At 38.0% G+C, this 16,886-nt stretch overlaps 1 protein-coding gene across 2 annotated transcripts in view; it reads left to right on the top strand.

Annotated features, from left to right (window-relative positions):
* The window catches only part of ABCA10 (ATP binding cassette subfamily A member 10), a 96,842-nt gene that overhangs the window by 44,237 nt on the left and 35,719 nt on the right, over positions 1–16,886 (top strand). For both annotated transcript variants that reach the window (NM_080282.4, NM_001377321.1), the window contains 10 exons: positions 3,490–3,548; positions 6,117–6,227; positions 6,623–6,798; positions 7,000–7,119; positions 7,364–7,502; positions 7,959–8,049; positions 9,297–9,436; positions 10,135–10,254; positions 12,733–12,931; positions 14,969–15,135. In NM_080282.4, coding sequence (NP_525021.3) covers positions 3,490–3,548; positions 6,117–6,227; positions 6,623–6,798; positions 7,000–7,119; positions 7,364–7,502; positions 7,959–8,049; positions 9,297–9,436; positions 10,135–10,254; positions 12,733–12,931; positions 14,969–15,135 — 1,322 coding nt within the window. The remainder of the gene's footprint in view (positions 1–3,489; positions 3,549–6,116; positions 6,228–6,622; positions 6,799–6,999; positions 7,120–7,363; positions 7,503–7,958; positions 8,050–9,296; positions 9,437–10,134; positions 10,255–12,732; positions 12,932–14,968; positions 15,136–16,886) is intronic.

Below are 16,886 nucleotides of genomic sequence, written 5' to 3'. Positions count from 1 at the left end.
TGTATATTCAAACTGGTTTGATTGACTGAAAGTAAACAAATAAGAAATAAAGCAGGGAGAGCCATCAGTAAAACATTCCTCTATAATTTAGTGCATACTTCCCTAGGTATTTACTTATTTTATTCAAGATTTTTGGGCAGTATTCTTAAGTGACATTCTATTTGTGTGAAGTTATCTTTTTAAAAGTATATTTTCAGGAGACAGTAGATCATAGTGATTATGATGTAGTCTGTAGGTTTAAACCAACTGGTTTGAATCCTGGCTTTGCCCCTTATTAATTTCAGCTAAAGTATTAACCTCCTATGCCTCAGTTTCTTCATCTTAAAAATGAGCATAACAATAATACACAATTTGTCATAAAGAGTCAATGAGCTATCACATGTAAAGCTTTTACATGGCCTATTGCTAGGTGTTCAATAAATATTAGCTGTTAGGAATATCCCAAATATACTAAATCAGTTAGACCTATCTCAGTTCACGTTATTTTGAAACAGATACGTAAAAGGTGATTGGTGAAATTATCTGGGAGCAGTGGGAAATGAGGAAGGAGACAACAGGAAAAGGAGAATACTATAACCTAATATGAAAAGATCAAGGTGAAAGTTCTCTATTCCCTGGAGTTGAGGAAATTTCTCAAATTCTATAATTTTTAGTAGTCTTTCAAGTCCTATCTCCTGCATGAAAACTTTTATAGCTATTCTGTAGCTATAGTTTATCACTTTCTTTGGTATTAATTCTTATAGAAATTACGTTGACAACAGAAAATTTAGTATTGTTGCACATAACAAATTAAATTAGGACTAAATTATATTATTTCCTCTTTTGTCAGGCCGAAAGCTCGTCTTTTAGGACATGGTTCAATAAATGCCCAGGATCATGAGTTTGATCCATATTAATCCAGTGAACAATGGAGATGGGTGTTGTTGTATGGTATGAAGAGCGGTTATTTAGGTCTCCTAAGTGGTTGATGCTAGTCATCCTATTCAGTGGTCTTGGGTCTAATTTGCCCTTATGACATTAATATGAATTGAGTGTACTCTCAGATAATTGTGACAGTTCTAGCCTGTCTAAACCTGCATACAGTGTCATCCACCTTGATATTCCCTCTATATGTACCTAGAGATAGAGGGAACATCCTATAGGAAGTGGCCTAACATGCCTGAAACCAGGAACTCTTTGATCATTCTGGACCAGACTGTTCCTATTGACAAATTAATTACTTTTTTAACTTATTCATCATTAATCAGTCCCTCTGCTAGAATTAGGATACAGAGATTAATGATAGTCTTTAACCTCAGGAAGTACAGAGTCTAAGGAAATAGATACTAAAATAGATAACTGATAAGTAGTAGAGCTGAACACAGAGAATTAAAAGAAATAAAGAAGGATCATCCAACCTAGTGTAGTGTAGTGGGGAAAGTCAAAAGGAGGTGACTCTTAAGGTGAGTCTTATGAAAGAGAAAGGTCTTGGTCATATAAAGTATGGTGGGGTATGTGAAGGTCCTTCCACACAGGGGATATGGCATAAGCCACCTAGTAGAGCAAGACACAGTGTGTATGTATAGGGAACACAAGGAACTAACATTTCTGACCTTAAAGTACAAGAAAAGAGAGAGGTTAACTTTAAGAGGTAGGCACCAAATCTGATCATGGAAGATTTTGCTTGCCAAGGTAAGGAGATTAGGCTATCCTGTATAGTGTGGGGAATCACTGAATGATTTTAAGGAGGCAAATTAGGTAACCAGAACTTTGATAGATCACTTTGGCAGCTTTATGAAGAATGGATTTGAGGGTGACACAACTGGAGAAATGGAAATATTTACGATATTTTACCAGTCTAGGTCTGGTCAGGAAAAGTGAGTTGCTGGAAATATTGTGGGAGTAAAGGAGTTTAATACAGGGATTAGGGATTCACAAATGTACAAGAGTTAGAGGAGAGAAGGTTAAGTTACAACCAGAAAGTCAGGAAATAGCCACTGAGGACCTTAGCCTGATGCACAGAAATGGGTGTTTTTCAAGAAGTTTGTCAGTATACTGCTGCAAATGTCAGGGATTTTCTGGGAAATCTCTCACCAGTTATCTCAATCTGCAGTAGCAAAGCAGTCCTTGTCAAGAAGTCTGAGAAGCTGCTGCAAACCTCGAGCCTGCGTATATGCTTGGCTCACGTGACCCGAGAATAATGACCTTGCTTCATTTCTGCTCTCCAAATCTTGCCCAAGTTCTTCTCATTAGCAAAATCTGATACTGAAAAGAGGGTTCCGTGAAATGTAGTCTCTGATATGTCCTCCGCATTGCAGAAGGAAAGAGACTGTTGCTGATAGACAAGGGACAATTAAAAATAAAGCACAGAGGTCATAGCCCTGGTTGAGGTGAAAGATGACAAGAGCCTGGGCAAGAAGGCACAAGAAAAGTAGTAAAGAGATAAATTCAAATAGATTTATAAAGTTAAATTCATAAATTCTTGAAGTTAAATTGTAATAATTTTGTAGGTCACAGGATGGGGTGAAAAAGGGAGAGAGAGAGAGTTAAGGATGCCTCTCAGGCTCTTAGCTTGAGTTCCTGGGTAGATAGTAGAAATTCTAACTGAGATAGAGAATGGAAGTGGGCCAGTTTAGAGGAAAATATAATGCGTTCAGTTTGATATCCAAGTGTAGATATATAGTAAAAAGCAGAATATCTGAAACTTTGAAGAAATCTCTAAAACACAAATTTGGGAATCATTAGAATTTAGGTAGGAGTTGAAGCCATGAGAGTGGGTAAGATTGTATGGCAAAGGTTTGAGAATAAGAAAAATAGTTGGCCAAGTATAAAATCCAATTTAAGGAGTCCATAAAGTACGCCAAAACGGAATAGTAAGAGGAAGATGTGGAACCAAAGTGTAGAAGCCAGGGAGTTAGAGACTTAAGAAAACAAAAGAGTGAGTAATAGTTTAAAACAGTGATGAAGTATATCAAATAAGGACTAAAAAGTGTTCATTAGATTTGGTAACTAGAATGGTCATTGGTGAATTTCATTGGGAATAGTTTTTTGTGGAGTAGTATAGTGAGAAGCTATGTTGTCTTAGGTTGGGAAATAAATGTGGGATAAAGCAATGGAAATAGGGAGTAAAGATTATTATTTTGACAAATTTGCCTGTGAAAGATAATGATTGAGAGGGATTCAGGATTGAGGGAAAGCCTCTCTCCCTTTTTTCTTTCGCTCCCTTCCTTCTTTCCTTCTTTTTTTTTTCAATTTTAGCTTTCCCTTATTTATTTGATAACTTAGAGAAATAGCTGGAATATATGAAATGCCAAGTTTGATAAGAGTATTAGCAGGTCTGTGTAAATCTCTTTTGGGAGTGGTCAGGGGAGGGCTTTTATTACTGCCCTCCTTACATCCCACTGAGAGTGATACCCTTTACTGTGAAGTTCAGGCTTAGTTATGAACTGTAATCTGTGTTATTAATACTAGAAAATGCATTTACATGAAAATTACTTCATCTTCTTTCAGAATCAGAAATGTTATAAAAGAATATAATGGAAAGACTGGAAAAGTAGAAGCATTGCAAGGTAAAAAGAAAAACTCCCTCTCCCTCTCCCTCTCCCTCTCCCCCTCCCCCTCCCTCTGTCCACGGTCTCCCTCTGATGCCAAGCGGAGGCTGGACTGTAGTGCCGCCATCTCGGCTCACTGCAACCTCCCTGCCTGATTCTCCTGCCGAGTGCCTGCCGAGTGCCTGGGATTGCAGGCGCGTGCTGCCACGCCTGACTGGTTTTCGTATTTTTTTGGTGGAGACGGGGTTTTGCCGTGTTGGCCGGGCTGGTCTCCAGCTCCTAACCGCGAGTGATCTGCTAGCCTCAGCCTCGCGAGGTGCTGGGATTGCAGACGGAGTCTCGCTCACTCAGTGCTCAGTGTTGCCCAGGCTGGAGTGCAGTGGCGTGATCTTGGCTCGCTACAACCTCCACCTCCCAGCCGCCTGCCTTGGCCTCCCAAAGTGCCGAGATTGCAGCCTCTGCCCGGCCGCCACCCCATCTGGGAAGCGAGGAGCGTCTCTGCCTGGCTGCCCATCGTCTGGGATGTGAGGAGCCCCTCTGCCCGGCCTCCCAGTCTGGGAAGTGAGGAGCGCCTCTTCCCGGCTACCATCCCGTCTAGGAAGTGAGGAGCGTCTCTGCCCCGCCGCCCATCGTCTGAGATGTGGGGAGCGCCTCTGCCCCGCCGCCCATCATCTGGGATGTGAGGAGCGCCCCTGCCCGGCCGCGACCCCGTCTGGGAACTGAGGAGTGTCTCTGCCCGACCGCCACCCTGTCTGGGAGATGAGGAGCGTCTCTGCCCGGCCGCCCCGTCTGAGAAGTGAGGAGCCCCTCTGCCCGGCAGCCACCCCGTCTGGGAAGTGAGGAGCATCTCCGCCCGGCAGCCGCCCCCTCCAGGAGGTGGGGGGCAGCCCCTGCCCGGCCAGCCGCCCAGTCCGGGAGGGAGGTGGGGGGCAGCCCCCGCCCGGCAGCCGCCCCGTCTGGGAGGTGGGGGGCCCCTCTGCCCAGCCGCCACCCGCTCTGGGAGGTGTACCCAGCAGCTCATTGAGAACGGGCCATGATGATGATGGCGGTTTTGTCCAGTGGAAGAGGGGGAAGTGTGGGGAAAGGAAAGAGAAATCAGATTGTTGCTGTGTCTGTGTAGAAAGAAGTAGACATGGGAGACTCCATTTTGTTCTGTACTAAGAAAAATTCTTCTGCCTTGGGATGCGGTTAATCTATGGCCTTACCCCCAACCCCTTGCTCTCTGAAACATGTGCTGTGTCCACTCAGGGTTAAATGGATTAAGGGCGGTGCAAGATGTGCTTTGTTAAACAGATGCTTGAAGGCAGCATGCTCCTTAAGAGTCATCACCACTCCCTAATCTCAAGTACCCAGGGACACAAACACTGCGGAAGACCGCAGGGTCCTCTGCCTAGGAAAGCCGGAGACCCTTGTTCACATGTTTATCTGCTGACCTTCCCTCCACTATTGTCCTATGACCCTGCCAAATCCCCCTCTCTGAGAAACACCCAAGAATGATCAATAAATACTAAAAAAAAAAAAAAAAAAGAAAAACTTCATTGTTTGATAATGCTTCAAATTAAAACACAAAAACATTTCTGTGATGTGAAAATATCATTATTGTGGAAAATTAGAGAATAAAGAGAAAACAAAAAAATTAAAATATGTTTCTGCCATGAGGGATAATTACCAATAATATATTATCTTTTTTGTATATATACATTTATATATAAAATATTTTTTCAACAATAGGAATACACTGTTTATACCGGTTTATAATCTTTGACCTGACTTTATCAAACTAAGCTCGAAGTATTAGTGAAACTGGTTTTACTTTCATAGAACTCTTCATCGTCTATTTTGGCCTGTGGTTTGCCTGATTTTTGACGCTCTGACAATCTAATTCCCTCTGTTTTCTGTCTTCAGAGAATCTTTTAAAATTTCCAGCATGCTAACTGAATTCTTATTTTCCGGTGGAGTTAAGTTTTCAAACATTAAAGAAAAAGTTGTCAAGCCTTAGGCACATATATGTGAAAATGCCTGTGACATGTCTTAGATCCCAGCAGATATTTCTAAATATCATGCCCACACTTTTGTGATATAAAGCAAAATGATGACCAGTACCAGGAGATACTTTACCAATGTTTTCTTTATCAGTTCTACCTCCCTCCGAATATGAAATAAACTCTTCCCCTTTTCTCTATACCCAGCCCTTCTGTTTCCAGCTCTGCAAGCCTCAGGGAGACAATTTCTTAAGCCACACTTCTTTCCTTTGCCTAGGAAGCAAATAAACTACGTTTTGTTTTTATTTCTAGTAGTCTTTGTTTTATTATTTAATATTAAGTGTATAGATTCTTTGACATTCAAAGGATTTGAAGGAAGCAAGAGGGTAGAAATTTATATTCCCAGTCTTGATCCAATTTCTCCAAATTGAAGCTTTGTCTTCAGGAATACATAACTTATACAATTAAATGTATAATTTTATAGGGGATGTATTAAAATACCAATGAAATGAAATGCTGAGATATATTTTACTTTTCCAATTTTAAGGTCCATTCCATCTGCATATAATCCAAAATCTAATTTCCACTTTTTATTCTAAAACAGGCATATTTTTTGACATATATGAAGGACAGATCACTGCAATACTTGGGCATAATGGAGCTGGTAAATCAACACTGCTAAACATTCTTAGTGGATTGTCTGTTTCTACAGAAGGTGAGAAAACAGTTTTATAAAGTAAGTTGGCTGAAAAAGCAAGTTGTAAATTGGTTTGATTATGTAAAAAATGTTTCTCTAAATTGGACTTGTTACACAGTTGAATAATTTAGAGCAGGAAATATTGATTTCATATGCACATAAATTCATGAAAACATTTGTATCTCTATTCCACTATTATTTGACATTCCATGTATATTTTGCATTGCTGTGGACACAGATATTTACGTTAACAGTAATCTGAATTATTCAATGTATTAATTATGCAATTGGAAAATGTGAAGTTTCTTTAATAAAAACAAGTTTTTTGAACAAAATCTAAATACTAACATATATTATCACTCTGCATAGAATTAACATTCTGGCAGTAAAGCCTTTTAAATTTCTATTTATAGGATCAGCCACTATTTATAATACTCAACTCTCTGAAATAACTGACATGGAAGAAATTAGAAAGAATATTGGATTTTGTCCACAGTTCAATTTTCAATTTGACTTCCTCACTGTGAGAGAAAACCTCAGGGTATTTGCTAAAATAAAAGGGATTCAGCCAAAGGAAGTGGAACAAGAGGTACAGGAACACATTAAGATTGATGGCTTTGGAAATAATTTACTTTTGACTATATATTTTTTTTGTTCAGCTATTACTCTACTCTTTGATAGGTAAAGCTTAATCAACGAAGTTCTAGACTAAATCCTTTTCATTTTTAGAGAGTAAAAACTCCTTAAAGTAAAATATTTGATATTGTTAACACAGAGTTTTCTTTGATAGGTAAAAAGAATTATAATGGAATTAGACATGCAAAGCATTCAAGACATTATTGCTAAAAAATTAAGTGGTGGGCAGAAGAGAAAACTAACACTAGGGATTGCCATCTTAGGAGATCCTCAGGTGAGAGAAAAAATATATTTTTACAATTAATTTAGATTGAAGGATATACAACTATTATTAAAGTCCAACTTCTACTGTAATTACCAAATGTGAGGGAAAATTTATAATAAAGTACCATGCAAGCTTGTTAGGGATCTGGTGGAGGACTGTATTTGAGTCTAGAAATCATACTTGTTTTCATGGTGCTTTCTGAAGATCCTCACTGTGAAGAGGAAGATGCTTTCATACGTTTCCTCCTCTGTAGGTTTTGCTGCTAGATGAACCAACTGCTGGATTGGATCCCTTTTCAAGACACCGAGTGTGGAGCCTCCTGAAGGAGCATAAAGTAGACCGACTTATCCTCTTCAGTACCCAATTCATGGATGAGGCTGACATCTTGGCTGGTGATTCTTGGCTTCTTTATTCCAACTAGTTATTTAAGGATTTAACATGAGAGTTATTTTTCATAGCCTGTTTTCAAAAGAAGAAAATCTTGTTTGCAGTTTATTTGCAGAAGCCCATTTCAAGCCTCCACATGCCATTGGCTACAACAGGTCACATGGGGTGTAACCCTGCAAAGTTACATGGCAAAGTATGTGGACAAAGGAAGAGGTGAAGAATCAGGCCATCCTTGGAAAGTTTTGAGGCACTGGATTAGCTATGGGGAATGCAGTGAATTTCTGAGGCCTGTTTCACAATAGGCATGGGGATTAGAAATGATACTGCACCCAGGGGCTTAATGATATTACAGTTGTATTGATATTACAAATTTCATTCAGTGTTTTAGTATCCAAAGTAGAGAATATACCATATAAGGAATTACTCTTCACATAATTTTTTGAATCTTCCTTTCTACTCAGATAGGAAAGTATTTCTGTCTAATGGGAAGTTGAAATGTGCAGGATCATCTTTGTTTCTGAAGCGAAAGTGGGGTATTGGATATCATTTAAGGTATGTATTCTAGGTGTAGTTATTTTTAAATGAGCATATTAATATGAGGGTGACATTTTGTAGAAGCCTTTAGAAATATAAGAAAGGCAACTTAACTTCTGGTAGAAACTGTTTTGCAATAAACAGCTCAAAATGTCTTCCTCATTAACATTTCCTTTCTTGGTTATCTCTTGGTTTTAAGCATGCTAATTAAAAAACAAAGTATACTTCTTAATACAACTTTTTTGTTTGTTTGTTTGTTTGTTTGTTTTTTTGAAGACACAGTCTCGCTCTGTTGCCAGGCTGGAGTGCAGTGGCTGCAACCTCCAACTCCCTGGTTAAAGCGATTCTCCTGCCTCAGCCTCCCGAATAGCTGGGATTACAGGCATGCGCCACCATGCCCAGCTAATTTTTTGTATTTTTAGTAGAGATGGGGTTTCACCATGTTGGCCAGGATGGCCTCGATCTCCTGACCTCGTGATCTGCCTGCCTTGGCCTCCCAAAGTGCTGGGATTACAGGCATGAGCCACCGCGCCCGGCCTATACGACATTTTTAAGCCAATATTTGTATAGAAAAAAATTATCTTTATGTCCTCAATAAGCCATTGTTTACTTTTAGCAAAACAATTTGGCCTAAATTTCTGTAGTTATATTCCAAATCTAATTGATAGAATGGCAGAATATCACATGGGAACATTTTAGAAAGCATCAAATACTCACAAACAAGCTCTGCAAATAGAAGTTGTTGACATTAAGAGAAACCACTTAATGCATAGAAAGCAACTGTTTATTAAAAACCTTATGAATTTTCCAGTTATTCAGAAGCAATGTTTCATGTATCTTATATCCTATCATGATTGTTTTTTATGTATATCACACATGTAGCACAATAATGATAGTTTTATATATGTATATATACACACACATAAAATAACTTTTATACACATGTATTTGCATGTGTGTATGTGTGTTTGTGTATGTGTGTATGTATGCTAAAATGTCACTGTGCTTTAGTTACATTTAAAGGAATTGGTGTTGATATGTACTATAATTTTTCCATTTGAAATAATGCAAAATAGGCTACCAATTAGCACTTTGAAGTTGAATTAGCAATTTGAAGTGGAGTATCTGATTTGCAGGAACCAATTACTAGAGTTAAGTAGAATATGCCTGTAATACATATAAGCTGTTTAATAGAAAACTATCTTTTCATGAGTGGTGGTGTTGGAAAAGAATTCAAGAGACTTATGGCTCTTTTGAAATAATAGTTTACACAGGAATGAAATGTGTGACACAGAAAAAATCACATCCCTTATTAAGCAGCACATTCCTGATGCCAAGTTAACAACAGAAAGTGAAGAAAAACTTGTATATAGTTTGCCTTTGGAAAAAACGAACAAATTTCCAGGTAACTTACTGTGTAATCACATAGAATATATGTAAGTGTTCACGATTGTGCTGACTGCATTTTCTGTTGTTCTATGAATCGAGTTCTAAAGCTTATACAAATGAAAATATTTATTCATAAGTAATCTGTTCCTATTTCCAATATGATGATCTATGTTACCAGGGACGTATTATAGCAACTAAAATTTCCATGAATATAGAAACCCCGATTTGCACTCTTTGTCAAAATTAAACTTTGAAATATCTCTTTTCTGAAATAGCAGTTTCTGTTAGAAATACAGATGAAATGAGACTTTATCTTTTAAAATATATGTAAGCAGTTCAATAGAGTCTTTGAAAATTATAATAATTTTATTATATATATAAAATGGTTAGTATAGAAAAGTTAGAAAATACAAAGGATAAGGTATAACTTAATAAATTTTTAGATAGACATACAGATACATGCTTATACAAACACACACAGCAATAATGATACAAGAATTTTAAAGTTTATGAAACAAAATGGAAATGTAAAATATTAAAACTGATTTGAATGACAAGAGAATATCTTACAGAAAAGGTTTCCTTGGATTATTGTGATTGCTTTAATATGAAAACATTTGTAGACATCTATTTTGAGTAATATTTAGAAATTAGTATTTTAATATACTCATTGATAATTTTAATTGCGTTGACTTATTACTATTGGCTTTTTAGATCTTTACAGTGACCTTGATAAGTGTTCTGACCAGGGCATAAGGAATTATGCTGTTTCAGTGACATCTCTGAATGAAGTATTCTTGAACCTAGAAGGAAAATCAGCAATTGATGAACCAGGTATAAAAATGTGTGTCTAGCAGAAAATTAAGAAAAAAAAGAGAAGAGAAAAAGATGATGTTCTAATTCATATTTGTAGATTTTTATGTGGATTTCTACCTATAATATGCATTAGATAGAAAATAGCATTGTCCACTAGATAGAAAATACTAGCATTGTCCAGTATTATAATCATTTTATATCGAGTATAATCAGCCTTGGTGCTAGGCAAATTGCTTTCCAACATCTGTCTGCTTCCCATGTCAGTGACAGGCACATCTCTTTGCAATGACCACTTCTTCCTTATTATCAAAAGCTCTCTGCTATAGCGATGAATTCTGCTATTGCCTCTTACTTGCCATTCCTTATAAAAATGTGCTCTTAATTAGCTAATAAACTAATTCTAATTAATGTATTAATAAGAAGTAATAAAATAAGATGTTATTTCCTTAGTTTACTTTGTAATAAAAATTAGAAGAATTTAGGAGGCTACTATACATAGACCAACGGAACAAGTTAGAGAACCCAGCAATAAAGCCACAAACCTACAGTCATCTGATCTTCAACAAAGCCAGTGAAAACAAACAATGGGGAAATGACTCCCTATTCAATAAATGGTGCTGGGATAACTGGCTAGCCACAGGCAGAAGATTGAAACTAGAGCCCTACCTTTCACCCTATACAAAAATAAACTCAAGATGGATTAAATACTTAAATGTAAAACCTAAGACTATAAAAACCTGAGAAGAAAACCTACAAAATACCATTCTGGACATTGGTCCTGGCAAAGACTTCATGATGAAGACTCCAAAAGCAATTGTAACAAAAAGAAAAATTGACAAGTGAGACCTAATTAAACTAAAGAGCATCTGCACAGCAAAAGAAACTATCAACAGAGTAAACAGACAACATACAGAATGGGAGAAAATATTTGCAAACTATGCACCCAACAAAGGTATAATATCCAGAATCTATAAGGAGCTTAAATCAGTAAGCCAAAAACAACCCCATTAAAAAATGGACAAAGGACATGAACAGATACTTCTCAAAAGAATACATACATGCAATCAACAAGCATATCAAAAATGCTCTGTATCATGAATGAATAGGGAAATGCAGATCAAAACCACGAGATACCATCTCACACCAGTCAAAATAGCTATTATTAAAAAGTAAAAAAATAACAGATGCTGATGAGGTTGTGGAGAAAAGGGAATGATTATGCCCTGTTGGTGGGAATGTAAATTAGTTCAGCCACTGCAGAAAGCAGTCTAGAGATTTCTCAAAGAACTTTAAATAGAACTATCATTTGACCCAGCAATCCCATTACTGAGTATATAGCCAAAGGTATATAAATCATTCTGTCATAAAGACATATACAGATACGTTCATTGCAGCACTATGCACAATAGCAGAGACATGGAATCAACCTAGATGCCCATCAGTGGTGGACTGGATAAAGAAAAGGTGTTACATGTACACTATGTAATACCACGCAACCATAAAGAATGAGATCATGTCCTTTGCAGCAACATGGAGTAAGCTGGAAGCCATTATCCTAAAGAAATTAACACAGGAACAGAAAACCAAATACCATATGTTCTCACTTACAAGTGAGAAGTAAACATTGAATACACACGAATACAAAGAAGAGAACAACAGACACCAGGGCCTACTTAAGTGTGGAGGATGAGAATTGAAAAATGACCTAGTGGGTATTATGCTGATTACCTGGATGACAAAATTGTCTGTACACCAAACCCCCAAATCCCCATGACACGCAATTTACTCATGTAACAAGCCTGCACCTAAATGACACACAGTTTACCCATGTAGCAAGCCTGCACCAAAAATAAAAATTGGAAAGAAAAAAAAGAATTTAGGAGGCTACTAGATACCAGCCATTGTACTCAGTCCTTGAATTATATTGTTTTAAATTCCCATAATAACATCAAGCTGCCCATGAGAAAACTGATATTTGAAGTTGTGTGATTAGCCAAAATTATACAGTAAATGTGTGGTATATGTGGGACTCAAACAGGAGGCCTTTCCATGAACTTTCCATCATTTGAAAGCACAATGTCTTGAACTCGTTACTGAGATGTCAATCATCAGTGTTGAACTAATCCTGTAGGGGAAATTCCAGATGACAGAGGAGGCCTGTTGGAAACTCAGCTACATAAATTTGTCTTTGTGCTTCTGCATAAAACTTGCTCTGCAAAAGTATCCATTAGTGAAGAGCTACTGTTATTGGTATGAAAGAATAAATGCTTGTTAGGAAGCCTTAATCATCCTCAAAAATTAATTTACTGTCTCATTGGAACTGAATCCATTACATATGTTTGAAGGAAAGATTTTTAACGTAAATTTTGATTATGGATATCAGTAGCTTAACTTGTTGGAAGTGCTGTTTCAAATAGTCTAACATCATTTTCAAAGTTTTTAAAGAGAAAGTTCAGATAACATAGCCTATTAAAATGTTTTATTACATGATTGTAGATTTTGACATTGGGAAACAAGAGAAAATACATGTGACAAGAAATACTGGAGATGAGTCTGAAATGGAACAGGTTCTTTGTTCTCTTCCTGAAACAAGAAAGGCTGTCAGTAGTGCAGCTCTCTGGAGACGACAAATCTATGCAGTGGCAACACTTCGCTTCTTAAAGTTAAGGCGTGAAAGGAGAGCTCTTTTGTGTTTGTGAGTATCAGATTACTTTATATCTATTTGGTCAGTATATGAAAAAACATTCAAATATTAAGAAAGTAAATATATTAATTTATTCATTCATTTAACAGTTTTTTTGTATGTTTACCTATCCTGCTGTTACTGAGGAAAAGGGCCTGACTGCCTCATGTGCTAGAAGCCAATACTGTGACACTGGATTTTTGAGGAAAGAAAAGGTTTTTATTGCTAGTTGACTCACAAGGAGACAGGAGACCAGCTCAAATCTGTCTCCCTGTGCTGACTTTAAGGCAGTAATTTTATTAGCAAAGGTTTAGGGGGTGGGTCCTGGGATTAGCATGGTAGAAGAAAAGGAGAGGTCTGGAAAGTCCTCAGGCATGTACAGATATCTCTTCATGCCTCCTCATGTATCCCTTGTGCAAATTCAAGCGCAGTTGGTATGAAATATATGGTGGAAATTCAGGCTGTGAAGTCGGCAGGATGATTCTGGACCGACTGTAATTGGCCATATTGGTTTCAGCTGATTTCAGCCAGTTTTATTATCTTACAAGCTGAGGGAGTTTCAGTGTTTCAGCAAATTGTTTCTTTTTTTTTTCTTCTTTCAATCTGACACCCTACAAACTCAATAATTTCTGCTAGTCATTGATTTCTTTAACTCTTTGGGGCACAGTTTTACTACTGTAGTGAACAAAATTGATAAGGCCTTTAAACTTGTTCCATTATATCACAAATCTTTATTGAAGCCTGTTATAGTATACTAGGCATTGTTCTAGGAGCTTTGGTTATATTAGTGAACACAAAAGGCACAGATCCCTACTCTAATGGTGTTTACATCTGGTTGGGTGGAAAAGATGAAAAATACTGAATATAAAACTAAATAACTTATATGCCAGGTTATACAAACTAGAGTAGAAAAGGGGATAGGGAGGGATGACAGGAGTTGGAGGTACATTACAATTCTAAATAGGTTTGCTGGTGTTGGTCTTACTGAAATTGTTACGTTTAAGCCAAGATTAGAAAATATGGAGGGTTAATAACAGTTGAGAAACAAAGCATCCATTGGATTTGGCAAAAGGGAAGTTATTAAAGGTTTTAGCAAGAGAAGGTCTGAAAGTAGACAACTCTTTTGCGGTGCTTGACTGTGGAGCGGAGTAGAAAGAGCAGAAGCTAAAAGGCAATGTGAAGTCGGGAAGAAAGTTGATTTTATAATGAATGAGAGATAGACGGAGGGTGGAGAGTTTGGATTCATCGCAATGTTGACAAGGACTGATCTTTTTGTTAGGAGCAAAGATCTATTATCTACTTCAACAGAATAAAAGAATGAGAGGATGACTGAATCTGTGTATGTGTTTTCTTTTCTTTTGGCGGCGATAAGATGAAGGAGTTTCTGTCCTATAGACTCCATTTTTTTTTTCTATGAAATATATGGCTGATAGGGAGAAGGAGGTAGAGTATGAAGTCTGATGGGAAAGTAGTCATTGCAGAGTGGACTCATGGCTTATTAGAGAAACAAAGATTGCTTGGAAGCATTTCACTTGCAATTTGAGTTGGTGGGATGACTTCTAGGATATAAAAATAGTGTTTTAAATATTGCATTTAGTTTCCTGAAAATTAAAATATTTGTAAACTAACAATTGAAGAAAGTTAAAATTTTACTTGCAATTGTGCACATAGCAAGCTTGAGGCTGCAGTGTAAAATAGGGCTTCTTTCTCATCAAAAGTACCCAAGCAGGCAATTTGTGGCCCCTGTTATCTCATAAAATCATTTCCTGTGTTTTCCTGGTAAACCAGCATACCTGCAGAGGATTGCCCCTGGATTCCACCTTTTCTCTTGATGCTCTGTTACCCTTGAATATCTTCCAATGTGATACAAAGTATGTAATTTTTTTGTGCTGATTTTCAGATTACTGTCACTGTATGTTTCATTTTATCTAACTAAACACCACATATGCATGTGGACTTTCCATAGTTAGCACTTATATAGCATCTTTGTGACTTAAATAACCAGAGGAAAATTGCTTCAGACTCATGTTATAATTTTGTTTTACTTAGGTTACTAGTACTTGGAATTGCTTTTATCCCCATCATTCTAGAGAAGATAATGTATAAAGTAACTCGTGAAACTCATTGTTGGGAGTTTTCACCCAGTATGTATTTCCTTTCTCTGGAACAAATCCCGAAGACGCCTCTTACCAGCCTGTTAATCGTTAATAATACAGGTGAGAAATGGGGCTGAAATTTAGTGTGAGTTTTTATTATCAAAGATCTTTAGAAAGCACATACCTGAGAGACAATTGAAAACAAAAATGGTGTCTATCCAGCTTGCTCCATTTTCAAATGAAGGAAACTGATGGGTTAATTTTCTTTTTTAATATTTTTTATTTTGTATTATCTTTATTTCAATAGGTTTGTGGAAAACAGGTGGTGTTTGGTTACATGTATAAGTTCTTTAATGGTGATTTCTGAGATTTTGGTGGACTCATCACCTGAGCAGTGTACACTACACTCAATGTGTAGTCTTTTATCCCTCAACCCCGTCCCACCCTTTCCCAAGTCCTCAAAATCCATTGTATCATTCTTATGCCTTTGCACCTTCATAGCTTAGCTCCCACTTATAAGTGATAACATATGATGTTTGGTTTTCCATTCCTGAGTTACCTTCACTTAGAATGATGGTCTCCAACTCCATCCAGGTTGCTACAAATGTCATTACTTCATTTCGTTTTATGGATTAGTAGTATTCCAAGGTGTGTGTGTGTGTGTGTGTGTGTGTGTGTGTATTTAAAAAGTTATATATATGTATGTGTGTGTGTGTATATATATACACACACACACACACACACACATATACATATATATATAACTTTTTTAATCCACTTGTTGATGGATGGGCACTTGGGCTGGTTCCATATTTTCACAATTGTGAACTGTGCTGCTATAAATGTGTGTGCAAGTATCTTTTTCATATGACTTCTTTTCCTCTGAGTAGATGCCCAGGAGTGGAATTGCTGGATCAATCGGTAGACTTACTTTTAGTTCTTTAAGGAATCTCCACACTGTTTTCCATAGTGGTTTTACTAGTTTATATTCCCACCAACAGTGTAAAAGTGTTCCCTTTTCATCACATCCATGCCAACATCTATTATTTTTTGATCCATCTTCAGGTCTCGCAGCCGTGGGTACCAGCACCTGTTCTGGTGGAGGTAGCAGGGGAGTGAAGTGGACTCTGTGAGGGTCCTTGGTTGTAGTTTTGTTTAGTGTGCTGGAACAGTGTTGGTCAGCCTCCAGCCTGGAGGTGGCACTTTCAAGAGAGCATCAGCTATGGTAGTATAGGGAGGATGCAAGCTTGCCCTAGGGTCGCCTGGATAAGTATTCAGGTTTCTCAGGTGGTGGGTCAGGGCCATAGAACTTCCAAGAGATTATGTTTACCAGGGCGGGTGGAGAAAGACCAGCAGGTGAGGGCAGGGTTAGGCACGTCTGAGCTTAGACTGTACTTGGACAGGGCTTGCAGCAGCTCCTGTGGGGCATGGCCGATGGAGTTATGTTCCCAGGGAGATTATGGCTGCTTCTGCTGCATCGTACAGGTCGCTAGGGAAGTAGGGGAAAGCCGGCAGTGACAGGCCTCATTCAGTTCCCACACAGCCCGCAAAGTGGTCTCAATGCCCCTACAACAGAACTGAGTTTGTTTCCAGGCAGCTGGTGAGCAGGACTGAGAACTCACCCCATGCTACAAGACTCCCTTTGAGAAAGCAAGCAGGGCTCTCCGGTTATGTGCCTTCCCCCTGCCATGGCTTCTGTGCTTGAATCTGCACTCCCTGATCATTCCTTCCCCAAGATTCTGTCCAGGAAACTATGCATTTGGTTAAAATTATTACAAAGTTCAGCTGGAAGTTTCCTTCTTCCTGTGGTCTTTCCCCAATTCCACTGGCAGCCCTCCCCAAGGACCCCTCTGAGACAAAGTCAAAAATGG

This window comes from Homo sapiens, chromosome 17 (genome assembly GCF_000001405.40).
Source record: "Homo sapiens chromosome 17, GRCh38.p14 Primary Assembly".
NCBI classification, from domain to species: Eukaryota; Metazoa; Chordata; class Mammalia; order Primates; family Hominidae; genus Homo; species Homo sapiens.
Note: the sequence above shows the minus strand (reverse complement) of the source record. Positions and strands in the feature narration are given on the sequence as shown.